This window comes from Homo sapiens, chromosome Y (genome assembly GCF_000001405.40).
Source record: "Homo sapiens chromosome Y, GRCh38.p14 Primary Assembly".
NCBI classification, from domain to species: Eukaryota; Metazoa; Chordata; class Mammalia; order Primates; family Hominidae; genus Homo; species Homo sapiens.
This window is the reverse complement of record NC_000024.10, coordinates 1,756,936-1,769,974: the sequence shown is the minus strand read 5'-3', so window position 1 is coordinate 1,769,974 and position 13,039 is coordinate 1,756,936. Positions and strand designations below refer to the sequence as shown.

Below are 13,039 nucleotides of genomic sequence, written 5' to 3'. Positions count from 1 at the left end.
CCCCAGGTGTACAAGGAGGGAACTGGTGGGAGGTGACTGGATCAGGGAGGCAGTTTCCCCCATGCTGTTCTCATGATAGTGAGTGAATGCTCATGAGATATGATTTTGTTTTCTTTTTTTTTTGTTTTTTGTTTTTGAGATGGAGTTTCACTATTGTTGCCCAGGCTGGAGTGCAATGGCATGATCTTGGCTCACTGCAACCTCCGCCTCCCGGGTTCAAGCAATTCTCCTGCCTCAGCCTCCCAAGTAGCTGGGATTACAGGCATGAGCCACTGTGCCTGGCTAATTTTGTATTTTTAGTAGAGACAGTGTTTCTCCATGTAAGTCAGGTTGGTCTTGAACTCCTGACCTCAGGTGACCCACCCGCCTCAGCCTCCCAAAGGGCTGGGATTGCAGGCATGGGCCACCACGTGCCGGCCGATCTCATGATTTTATAAGTGTTTAGCTATTCCCCCCTCACTCTCTGTCTCTCCTACCAGCTTGTGAAGAAGTGCTTGCTTCCCCTTTGACTTCTGCCATGACTGTAAGTTTCCTGAGACTTTCCCAGCTATGTGGAAGTGTGAGTTGATTCAACCTCTTTCCTTAATAAATTACTCAGTCTCAGGTACTCAGGTATTTCTTATAGCAGCAAGAAATACCTGAGTCTCAGGTACTCAGGTATTTCTTATAGCAGCATAAAAACAGACAAACACATTTGGTTCATAGATGTGTCAGTCCAACCTCTGTCTCCATCTTCTCCTTTGTGTGTTCTCTTTTTTTCTTACAAGGGCTCCAGTCATTGGATTTAGGGCCCACTCTATTCCAGTGCAACCTCATCTTAACGACGTCCACGAAGACTTTATTTCCAAATAAGTTTCCCTTCTGAGGTTCTGGTGGACATAAACTTTGCAGAGACATACTTCAGCCCACTGCAGAAGACTTTTAAAAAAAAGGGTGGGGGAGGGGGGCTGGGCACAGTGGCTCACGCCTGTAGTCCCAGCACTTTGGGAGGCCAAGGAGGGTGGATCATGAGATCAAGAGATCCAGACCATCCTAGCCTACATTGTGAAACCCCGTCTCTACTAAAAATACAAAAATTAGCCGGGCGTGGTGGTGCACACCTGTAGTCTCAGCTACTTGGGAGGCTGAGGCAGGAGCATCACTTGAACCCGGTAGGCAGAGGTTGCAGTGAGCCAAGATCATGCCACTTCACTGCAGCCTGGGCGACAGAGCAAGAATCCATCTCAAAAAATAAAATAAAATAATAAAAATAGAAAATTTAGCCAGGTGTGGTGGTAAGCATCTGCAGTCAGGCCTATTTGGGAGGCTGAGATGGGAGGATTGCTTCAGGCTGGGGGCCAAGCCTACAGTGAGCCATGATGGCCCCACTGCACTACAGCCTGGGCCACAGAGACCCCACCTCTAGAGAGAAAGAGAGAGAGAATCTCCTTCATTTCAGCAGCATTGATATTGGTGGATGCGACACTCCAGGTGAAATAGGTCCCATTCTTTTCCTCCTTCCACTTCACTGCAGCCTGGGCCACAGACTGAGACCCCATCTCTAAAAATAAAAATAAACAAATAACAAATAAATGAATAGGCTGGGCGTGGTGGCTCACACCTATAATCCCAGCACTTTGGGAGGCCGAGGCAGGCAGATCACCTGCGGTCAGAAGTTTAAGACCAGCCTGGCCAACATGGAAAAACCCCACCTCTACTAAAAAAATGCAAAAATTAGCCGGATGTAGTGACTGCGTGCCTGTTATCCCAGCTACTTGGGAGGCTGAGGCAGGAGGGTCACTTGAACCCAGGAGGCAGAGGTTGCAGTGAGTAGAGATTGCGCCACTGCACTCCAGCCTGGGTGACAGAGCAAGACTCTGTCTTAAAACAAACAATAAAATAAAATGAATAAAAAATAAGAAGAAATCATAGTGTGAGTATAACTATATGTAGCATCCCAGGAGACCTCCTAGCAGCCGTATCACAACACCTGAGGATTGCTCTTGGAGACCCCCACATAGGATGGTGCTAGAAAAAAACAGAAAGAAGCCCTCTGGGCTGCAGTCACTCTGGAGGTATTTATTTATTTGTTGACTTATTGTGTATTCATTCTTTTTTTTTTTTTTTTTTTTGAGACAGAGTCTCACTCTGTCGCCCAGGCTGGAGTGCAGTGGTGCGATCTTGGCTCACTGCAACCTCTGCCTCCTAGGTTCAAGCGATTCTCCTGCCTCAGCCTTCTGAATAGCTGGGATTACAGGCAAACGCCACCACGCCCAGCTAATTTTTTTGTATTTTAGTAGAGATGGGGTTTCACCTTGTTAGGCAGGATGGTCTCGATCTCCTGACCTTGTGATCAGCCCGACTTGGCCTCCCGAAGTGCTAGGATGACAGGCTTAAGCCACCGTGCCTGGCCTCCTTCTTATTTTTAGAGATGAGGTCTTACACTGTGTTATCCAGGCTTCAGTGCCATGGAAAGAGTTGGAGCAGGGACTGATTATACCCAGAGCATCACAACAGCCAATGTCAAGGGTGTGGTGTGGAGGCACAGGACGCGTCCTCTTCCACGGAGCCACAGATGTGAGGAGCTCTCACCCTCCTCCTTACCTCCTGGGGGCCTGGGACGTGATACCTGTAGACACGCTGGGGAGGTGTGAATTGTAAAAGGCCTACCACACTCAGGTGCCGACGCCCTTCGACTCATGAACCGATGCCTGCCCCCTTTGTCTGCCTCCTTTTCCCTCCCACTCTCCCATCACAGATGATCCTTGGCTGGCTTCCCCGTTTCCATGGTTACCGCCTCTGCCAGGGAGGCAGCCACAGGTGGTGGATGCTGTCAGAAAAGCTGCTCAAAAGTCATCGTCCAGAGCCAATACCCAGGGCATCCACGGTGTGAGGCCAACTGGGGACCCCAGGGAACCCCAGACTTGACCCCTGGAAGACATTCCAAATGGAAGACATGGAGCTGGCCAAGGAAGAAAGGTTTGGGACTGGGAGGTGGCTGGGGCATGTGAGAAACAGCTGGCTCCTGGTGTCATACAGGAGAATCATGAGTGTTTGTTTTGGGATGGTTTCTGTGTCCTGTTGTACCACCTGGGCTTGCCTGTCGTTGTCTCAAAGCATTTTTTTGCATGACGTGGTTTATCTGGGGAGCTCTGGACCTCTCAGGTGAACACACAGCCATCATCATGTCGAGTTTATTTTTTTGAGACGGAGTCTCGCTCTGTCACCCAGGCTGGAGTGCAGTGGCACGATCTTGGCTCACTGCAACCTCCGCCTCCTGGGTTCACGCCATTCTCCTGCCTCAGCCTTCCGAGTAGCTGGGACTATAGGCACCTGCCACCACGCCTGGCTAATTTTTTGTATTTTTAGTAGAGACGGGGTTTCACCACGTTAGCCAGGATGGTCTTGATCTCCTGATCTTGTGATCCACCCGCCTCGGCCTCCCAAAGGGCTGGGATGACAGGCGTGAGCCACTGCACCCGGCCATCATCTCGAGTTTCTGAGTGAAGAGTGCGCAGCATGGAGAGGCAAGGTGGTTGGTGGGAGGTGGCACATCCCCAAGGCAACAGAGCAGGGAGGAGATGGGCTGATGTATCCCACGCTGAGAGTGTCCCAGCCAAGGAGCTTGCAACAGGGGGTAGTGGAGAGACGGAGAGTGGTAGAAATGGAAAAATTCCTGGGGAGTAGGAAGTACAATTGCCAGTTTCAATGAGGTGTGAAGGAAAAGGGAGGAAAAAGGAAACGGCTCCCAGACAACACACTTGCAATCCTGGGGGAGGAAGCATGAATGTGTTTTGTTTTTGTTTTCATTTTTTTTTGTTTTGTTTTGCTTTTGTTTTGCGACAAGATCTTGCTCTGTCACCCAGGCTAGAGTGCAGTGGTGCAATCATAGCTCACTGCAGCCTCGATCTCCTAGCCTCAAGCGATCCTCCCACCTCAGCCTCCCAAGTAGCTGAGGCTACAGGCATGCACCACCACACCCAGCTAATTTTTGTATTTTAGTAGAGATGGGGTTTCACCATGTCTCGAACTCCTGAGCTGAGGAGATCCACCCGCATCAGCCTCCCAAAGTGCTGGGATTATAGGCATGAGCCGCCGCACCCAGCTGCATTTTTTTTTTTAAGAGATGGGTCTTGCTCTGTCACTCAGGCTGGAGTGCAGTGGTGCAATCATAGCTCACTGCAACCTCGACCTCCTAGCCTCAAGCGATCCTCCCACCTCAGCCTCCAGAGTAGCTGAGACCACAGGTGCACACACTGCCATACCTCACTACTTTTTCTTCTTTTGTAGAGACGGGATCTAATTGCGTTTCTTAATACACAACACACAACAGGGTAAAGCTCAACACTCCAAAGCATTTAGAGAGCTCACAAAATAATATCACGAGCAAGGAAGTACCCAGAAAATAACCTTGGACCTTAGCCAAGGAGAAATCTCTCTAGCATCCATGCCTTCAGATATCTGCCCCCAACCAGGCGAGGAACTGAGACAGCTTCCACTCTTTGGAAGGTCAGCTCTACCCGGATGGAAGCTGTAAGCTGGATTTTCTGTACCACAAGCTTCCCAGGACATGCCCATGGGCCAGAGCAGAAAAGTTGCCTGCAGTTTGGGACATTCAAGAACACTCTTTGTGGTGGGTTTCTTGGCTGTATGGCTGTTCCATTCCTAGACACACAGACAAGGGGAGAGATCAGTATACACTGGGCAGCTGGTTCACTGCCATCCCAAATTCCAGACCAGAACGTGCAGATGAGTCAGAAAGGGGGTCTTCTATCCATACGAAAGTTTGCAGTGGCAGCCGTGACCAATTTCACAACCTTCAAGGTAGCCGTGACCAATTTCACAACCTTCAAGTCAGACGTGGCAAATTTCACAACCTTCAAGGCAGCCGTGAGCAATTTCACAACCTTCAAGGCAGCCGTGAGCAATTTCGCAACCTTCAAGGCAGCCGTGAGCAATTTCGCAACCTTCAAGGCAGCCGTGAGCAATTTCGCAACCTTCAAGGCAGCCGTGAGCAATTTCGCAACCTTCAAGGCAGCCGTGAGCAATTTCGCAACCTTCAAGGCAGCCGTGACCACTTTCGCAACCTTCAAGGCAGCCGTGAGCAATTGCACAACCTTCAAGGCAGCCGTGAGCAATTGCACAACCTTCAAGGCAGCCGTGAGCAATTTCACAACCTTCAAGGCAGCCGTGAGCAATTTCACAACCTTCAAGGCAGCCGTGACCAATTTCACAACCTTCAAGGCAGCCGTGACCAATTTCACAACCTTCAAGGCAGCCGTGAGCAATTGCACAACCTTCAAGGCAGCCGTGAGCAATTTCACAACCTTCAAGGCAGCCGTGAGCAATTGCACAACCTTCAAGGCAGCCGTGAGCAATTGCACAACCTTCAAGGCAGCCGTGAGCAATTTCACAACCTTCAAGGCAGCCGTGAGCAATTTCACAACCTTCAAGGCAGCCGTGAGCAATTTCACAACCTTCAAGGCAGCCGTGAGCAATTGCACAACCTTCAAGGCAGCCGTGAGCAATTTCACAACCTTCAAGGCAGCCGTGAGCAATTTCACAACCTTCAAGGCAGCCGTGAGCAATTTCACAACCTTCAAGGCAGCCGTGAGCAATTGCACAACCTTCAAGGCAGCCGTGAGCAATTTCACAACCTTCAAGGCAGCCGTGAGCAATTTCACAACCTTCAAGGCAGCCGTGAGCAATTTCACAACCTTCAAGGCAGCCGTGAGCAATTGCACAACCTTCAAGGCAGCCGTGAGCAATTTCACAACCTTCAAGGCAGCCGTGACCAATTTCACAACCTTCAAGGCAGCCGTGACCAATTTCACAACCTTCAAGGCAGCCGTGAGCAATTGCACAACCTTCAAGGCAGCCGTGAGCAATTTCACAACCTTCAAGGCAGCCGTGAGCAATTTCACAACCTTCAAGGCAGCCGTGAGCAATTGCACAACCTTCAAGGCAGCCGTGAGCAATTTCACAACCTTCAAGGCAGCCGTGACCAATTTCACAACCTTCAAGGCAGCCGTGACCAATTTCACAACCTTCAAGGCAGCCGTGAGCAATTGCACAACCTTCAAGGCAGCCGTGAGCAATTGCACAACCTTCAAGGCAGCCGTGAGCAATTTCACAACCTTCAAGGCAGCCGTGAGCAATTGCACAACCTTCAAGGCAGCCGTGAGCAATTTCACAACCTTCAAGGCAGCCGTGACCAATTTCACAACCTTCAAGGCAGCCGTGACCAATTTCACAACCTTCAAGGCAGCCGTGAGCAATTGCACAACCTTCAAGGCAGCCGTGAGCAATTTCACAACCTTCAAGGCAGCCGTGAGCAATTTCACAACCTTCAAGGCAGCCGTGAGCAATTTCACAACCTTCAAGGCAGCCGTGGCAGATTTCACAACCTTCAGGGCAGCCGTGGCAGATTTCACAACCTTCAAGGCTTAAAATGGAAATGTATGCTCACATAATCCTGGATACCAGGAGTCTGAGATGAAGGTATGTTAGGGCTGGGCTCCCTCTGGAGTCTCTAGGGGAGGATCCTTCCTGCCTCTCCCAGCTCCCAGGGGCTCCCAGCATTCCTGGGCTCGTGGCTACACCACTCCAGTCTCTGTCTCCATGTGGCCTTCTCCTCTGTCTGGGTCTCCCCTTCTGTGTTTAGAAGGACACCTGTCCTTGCATTTAGGACCCCCTAATCTAGGACAGGTTTTATTTCAAGATCCTTCACTAATTACATTTGCAGAGATCCTGTTTCCAAGTAAGATTGCATTTATAGGTTCTGGGGAAAAGGAAATAAACATATATTTTGGGGATCACCATATAACCCATTCCAATTGTATCCAGTTCCTTCTGGAGGCTCTAGAGGAGGATCCTTCCTGCCTCTCCCAGCTCCTGGGGGCTCCAGGCATCCCTGGGCTTGTGGCCACATCACTGCAGTCTCTGCCTCTGTCTACACGTGGCCTTCTCCTCTGTGTCTGCGTCTCCTCTTCTGTCTCTTAGAACAGCTGTCATTGCATTTAGGGCCCTTCTTATATCTAGAATGAGGTTGGAACAATATTATGTGTTAACTTGACTGGATCATGGGGTGTTTAGATGTCTGATTGAATGTCACTCTGGGGTATCTGTGAGGGTGCTTCCCAGTGATGTTAGAAATTGAATTGGTAGCCTGAGAAAGGGAGATCATTTTCTCCAACATGGGATGGCCTTATCCAATCCATTCGCAGCCTCAAAAGAACAAAAAGAAGAAAAAGAGGCCGGGCACCATGGCTCACACCTGTGATCCCAGCACTTTGGGAGGCCAAGGTGGGTGAATCACGAGGTCAAGAGATTGAGACCATCCTGGCCAACATGGTGAAAGCCCATCTCTACTAAAAATACAAAAATTAGCTGGGCGTGGTGGCAGGCACCTGTAGTACCAGCTACTCGGGAGGCTGAGGCAGGAGAATTGCTTGAACCCGGGATGCAGAGGTTGCAGTGAGCCGAGATCGCACCACTGCACTCCAGCCTGAATGGCAAAGTGAGACTCCATCTCCAAAAAAAAAAAAAAAAAAAAAAAAAAAAGTCACTCATATTATCTCATTGCAAAAACCCTTCTATTTTTTAGCAATTTAGGAAAAAGTACAACATCAACGTAGGTAGCATACAATGTTTGAAATACTGCTACTCTGAGAACACTGAGAACCAACGAGCTAATGAATGCTGTCAATTCAAATGAGATTGAGATAAATGATCATGGGAAAAGAAACTGCAACGTCAAGAAATCTTTCAAATTTTATAGAAGAGAAAATTAATGAGCTTTTCCCCATAGTTGACATGGGTGCAGTAGCTCACGCCTGTAATCCTAGCACTGTGGGAGGCTGAGGGGGTAGATCACCTGAGGTCAGGAGTTCAAGACCAGGCTGAACCAACATGGAAAAACCCCTTCTCTACTAAAAATACAAAAAAAAATTAGCCGGACTTGATGGCAGGTTCCTGTAATCCCAGCTACTTGGGAGGCTGAGTCAGGAGAATGGCATGAACCCGGGAGGGCGGAGGTTGCAGCGAGCCGAGATCGCACCAGTGCACTCCAGCCTGGTGACAGAGCAAGACTCCATCTCAAACAAACAAACAAACAAAAAAACAAATTGGCTGGGTGCAGGGACCCACACCTGTAAGTAACCCCAGCACTTTGGGAGGCTGAGATGGCTGGATCACTTGAGGTCAGGAGTTCAAGACCAGACTGACCAACACAGAAAAACCCCATCGCTAGTAAAAATACAAAAAAAAAAATTAGCCGGATGTGCTGGCAGGGGCCTGTAGTCCCAGCTACTCAGGAGGCTGAGGCAGGAGAATCGCTTGCACCCAGGAGGCGGGGGTTGCAGTGAGCCGAGATCGCACCACTGCACTCTAGCCTGGCGACAGGGCAAGACTCCATCTCAAAAAAAAAACAAAAAACAAAAAACAGAAATTGGCTGGGTGCAGTACCCCACACCTGTAACCCCAGCACTTCGGGAGGCCGAGATGGCTGGATCACCTGAGGTCAGGAGTTCAAGACCAGACTGACCAACACGGAAAAACCCCATCTCTAGTAAAGATACAAAAAAAAAATTAGCCGGATGTGCTGGTAGGTGCCTGTAGTCCCAGCTACTCGGGAGGCTGAGGCAGGAGAATCACTTGCACCCGCGAGGCGGGGGTTGCAGTAAGCCGAGATTGCACCATTATACTCCAGCCTGGGCAAAACAGCAAGACTCCGTCTCAAAATAAATAAGAAATTACGATGCTCAATTATTTTTTTTTGAGACGGAGTCTTGCTCTGTTGCCCAGGCTGGAGTGCAGTGGTGTGATCTCGGCTCACTGCAACCTCCACCTCCTGGGTTCAAGCGATTCTCCTGCCTCAGCCTCCCACGTAGCTGGGATTACAGGTGTCCGCCACCACGCCTGGCTATTTTTTTTGTATTTTATTGTAGATATGGGGTTTCACTATGTTAACCAGGATGGTCTCGATCTCCTCACCCTGTGATCCGCCCGCCTCGGCCTCCCAAAGTGCTGGGATTACAGGCGTGAGCCACCGCGCCCGGCTCAAAGATACTTTTCTAAAGTCTGAAAAATAAATAAATGACAGTCAGCTGTGCTACAGGAAAGAATGAAATACCTTTCCCGTGCCTGTATGGATGAGACAAAAATCGCTGATCAAAGACCTTCCGGCTAGAAGTTGTAGGGGAAATAGGATTGGGTCTGACGGTGAATGCATAACAATGTTAGTTCTGTAAATCCTGTGATTTTGGAGGCTGCCCATCAGCTTTTCCAGATTTTGCAATTTGCTGTGATTTTATTCTAAACAAAAATTCTCTTTCATGTCTAAATGTGTATACGTAATTTTTTATTCTTTTATTTAAAAGACCCTCAAATGACCTAAGTATCTTGTCCCAGACACTATTGAACGTTTTCTGAGCACTGTGTTTCTAGAAAACAGTGAAGGGTAAGAAATCCCCCTACCTGGGCCAGGTGGGGTGGCTCATGCCTGTAATCCCACCATTGTGGGCGGCCGACATGGGCAGATCGCCTGAGGTCAGGAGTTCAAGACCAGCCAGGCCAACATGTTGAAACCCCATCTCTACTAAAAATACAGAAATTAGCTGGGTGTGGTGGTGCACGCTTGTAGTCCCAGCTACTCAGGAGGCTGAAGCAGAAGAATCACTTGAACCTGGGAGGTGGGCGTTTCAGTGAGCCAAGAATGTGCCATTTCACTCCAGGCTGGGTGACAGAGTGAGACTCCATCAAAGAAAGAAAGAGAGAGAGAGAAAGAGAGAGAAAGAAAGAGAGAGGAGAGAAAGAAGGGGGGAAGGAAGGAAAGAAGGAAGGAAAGAAGGAAGGAAAGAAGGAAGGAAGGAAGGAAGGAGAAGGGGAAGGAAGGAGGGAAGGAGGGAGGGAAGGAAGGAAGGAGGGAAGGAAGGAGGGAAGGAGGGAGGGAAGGAAGGAAGGAAGAAACCTCTGCCTCCTGGGTTCACGCCATTCTCCTGCCTCTCCCAAGTAGCTGGGACTACAGGCATGCACCACCACATCTGACTAATTTTTTGTTGTTGTATAGATGGGGTTTCACTGCATTAGCCAGGATAGTCTCAATCCCCCTTACCTTTTTGTATTCTGAGAAGTGACTTGCTGTAAACTCCTGCCTTTCTCTCATGACTTAGGAAAGATGCATGGCTGCCTTCCTCTTGATCTCCAGAGCAAGGCCAGACCAGACTCTCCAAATCCCTTCTTTTTATTTTCTTCTTAAATTTTTATTTATTTTTTATTTTTTTGAGACAGAGTTATGCTCTTGTTGCCCAGGCCGGAATGCAATAGCGTGATCTTGGTTCACTGCAACCTCTGCCTCCAGGGTTCAAGCAACTCTGTCTCAGCCTCCCGAGTAGCTGGGATTACAGGCATGCTCCACCAGGCCGAGCTAACATTGTAGTTTTAATAGAGACCGGGTTTCACCATATTGGCCAGGCTGGTCTTGAACTCCTGACCTCAGGTTATCCACCCGCATTGGCCTCCCAAAGTGCTGGGATTATAAGTGTGAGCCACAGTGCCTGGCCTCCAAATTCCTTCTTTCCTTTGTAAATGTCTAGCTGACCTGTTCATCCCCACAATCAATAGGAATAAAGTGCTTGTGGACCAAACTTGAAGTTTTCTCCTCCCCCACCCACCCCCAGCTCCTCTGAACACCCTCGTACGTTGGAACGTGGGACAGCCCCTCTTCAACAACCCCTCCTGAAAAATCAACAAACGACAAGGGGAAGTATTTCCTGATCAATTATTCTGACATGCCTCTCCCTATAAATGAAATTTGTTTCTGCCTGAGTCTTTGAGATGCTTACAAATCTTACAGTCAAGCAATCTCCCTACTGCAATTGTCTTTTCTTTTCTTTTATCGTTTTGTTGTTGTTTTGTTTTTGAGGCAGGGTCTCGCTCTGTTGCCCAGGCTAGAGTGCAGTGGTGCAATCTCGGCTCACTGCAAACTTCACCTCCCAGGTTCAAGTGATTCTCCAGCCTCAGCCTTTGGAGTAGCTGGGATTTTAGCTGTGTACTACCACGCCCGGCTATTTCTTTTTCTTTTTTTTTTTTTTTAAGTAGAGACAAGGTTTCACCATGTTGGCCAGGATAGTCTTGAACTCCTGACCTCAAGTGATCCACCGCAGCCTCCCAAAGTGCTGGGATTCCAGGCATGAGCCACCACACCCAGCCTGTAATTGTCTTTTCAAATCTCTTTCTTATCTAAATCCACATTTGTTTTTATTTTACTCCCCAGAAAACCAGCAAACACTCCTTCCTGGACGCCTATCCACTGAACACCAAAAGAGAAAAATATCCTTGTCTCTCTCTCTCTGTCTTGCTCTCTCTCTCTGACACACACACACACAGATACACAAAGAAACTAGGAGCTAGAAGGAGACCCCCTCAAGTCTAAATGAAATTATTTGCAAAGAGAGAACAGGACCAATTTCACTTCTAGCATCACAACTGCCAACATCAGTGGTGTGGAAATGAAGGGTGAGCTGTTTTTTTAATTTCTTTTTTTTGAAGGTAGGGTCTCACTGTGTTGTCCAGGCTAGAGTGAGGTGATGCAATCCTAGCTCACTGCAGTCTCAAACACCTAGGCTCAAGGGATTCTCCTACTTCAGCCGTCAGAGTAGCTGGGACTACAAGCACACACCACCACACCTGGATAATTTATTTTTATTTTTGTAGAGATGAGTGTCTTGCCATGTTGCCCAGGCTTCCAACGATCCTCCCAGCTTTAAGCAATGCTCCCACCATGGCCTTCCAAGGTGCTGGGACTACAGGCATGAAGCACTGAGCCCAGCCAACCTCTTTCATTTCCAGCAGTCACTGTGGGTCAGCTTATGAAGCAGTGTCTACCCCTTGAATCACCTTATCACAGAACAAACCTAAGAGTCATAGGAAAGGGAGGGCAGGATCCCTTTCTAGCAAATAAAGAAAGAGGAACTCAGAGAGATGAAACGACTTGACATCAGAGTGAAGACCTGGAGGAAAGAAAGTGAGCTTGGGGGTCTTGGGTTGACCCTTGGTGGGGGTGGTCTGCAGGGGAGAGGGGAAGCACCCTCAACAGTGAATGTCCCAATGTAAATGCTCCACGTGGAATCCCTGGCTCTGCAAAAGACATCTCCATCCACCAGCCCCACTTTCCACGCTACATTGACATGCTGCTGATGACAAGGTGATGATGACTGGTCACTATGGAAATAATAGAAGCTCACCCAACAGCGAGCAAGAAGAAACGATTTATCCAGGGCTTGCTATACCAAGGGAGGCAGCCACCGTCCCTTGCATTTAGCAAAAATGTAAAAGCAGGAACCCCAGATAGGAGAATCAGGAAGACTGCAGGCATGCCCTAATTAGAGGCTGTCCACATTCTAAAGCTGTAGGAGGCTCATGAGAAGTGGGGCACCCCTGGGATTGGTTAGGACGGTGTCTCTTCAGCTTTCTAATTTTTTTTTTTTTTTTTTGAGACAGAGTCTCGCTCTGTCACCCAGGCTGGAGTGCAGTGGCATGATCTCTGCTCACTGCAAGCTCCGCCTCCCGGGTTCATGCCATTCTCCTGCCTCAGCCTCCCAAGTAGCTGGGACTACAGGCACCTGCCACCATGCCAGTTTACTTTTTTTTTGTATTTTTAGTGGAGATGGGGTTTCACCATGTTAGCCAGGATGGTCTCAATCTCCTAACCTCGTGATCTGCCCGCCTCGGCCTCCCAAAGTGCTGGGATTACAGGTGTGAGCCACCACGGCCAGCCATCTAATTTTAAATCAGGGGCAAACATTAGGAAATCTGGTGGTTATGAATCAAATCTTGTTTAGGGCCCATGGTGCCTGAAGATATTGTTTGCCTTCCTGGACTGTTTGCTGGAGATAGTAATCTGACATCCTGCATGTCTGACTTGTACACAGCAGGTGACTTCCTGCGCTGGTTACAGTGGATAAGGGGTTGGTTTTCTTGGCAGGTTGTGGGTCAGAGTTTTATCTATGTAGATGGCCAGACCATTATCTGCTTGTATACTCACTCTCACATGACCATA

General features: G+C 48.8%; 1 annotated feature.

Annotated features, from left to right (window-relative positions):
• Positions 4,535 to 5,035: an enhancer, noted in NCBI's record as "H3K4me1 hESC enhancer chrX:1883833-1884333 (GRCh37/hg19 assembly coordinates)". NCBI's record gives its function as "activates a minimal SCP1, AML or CMV promoter by ChIP-STARR-seq in naive H9 embryonic stem cells {active_cell/tissue: H9 hESC(naive)}" and the evidence as "EXISTENCE:reporter gene assay evidence [ECO:0000049][PMID:30033119]".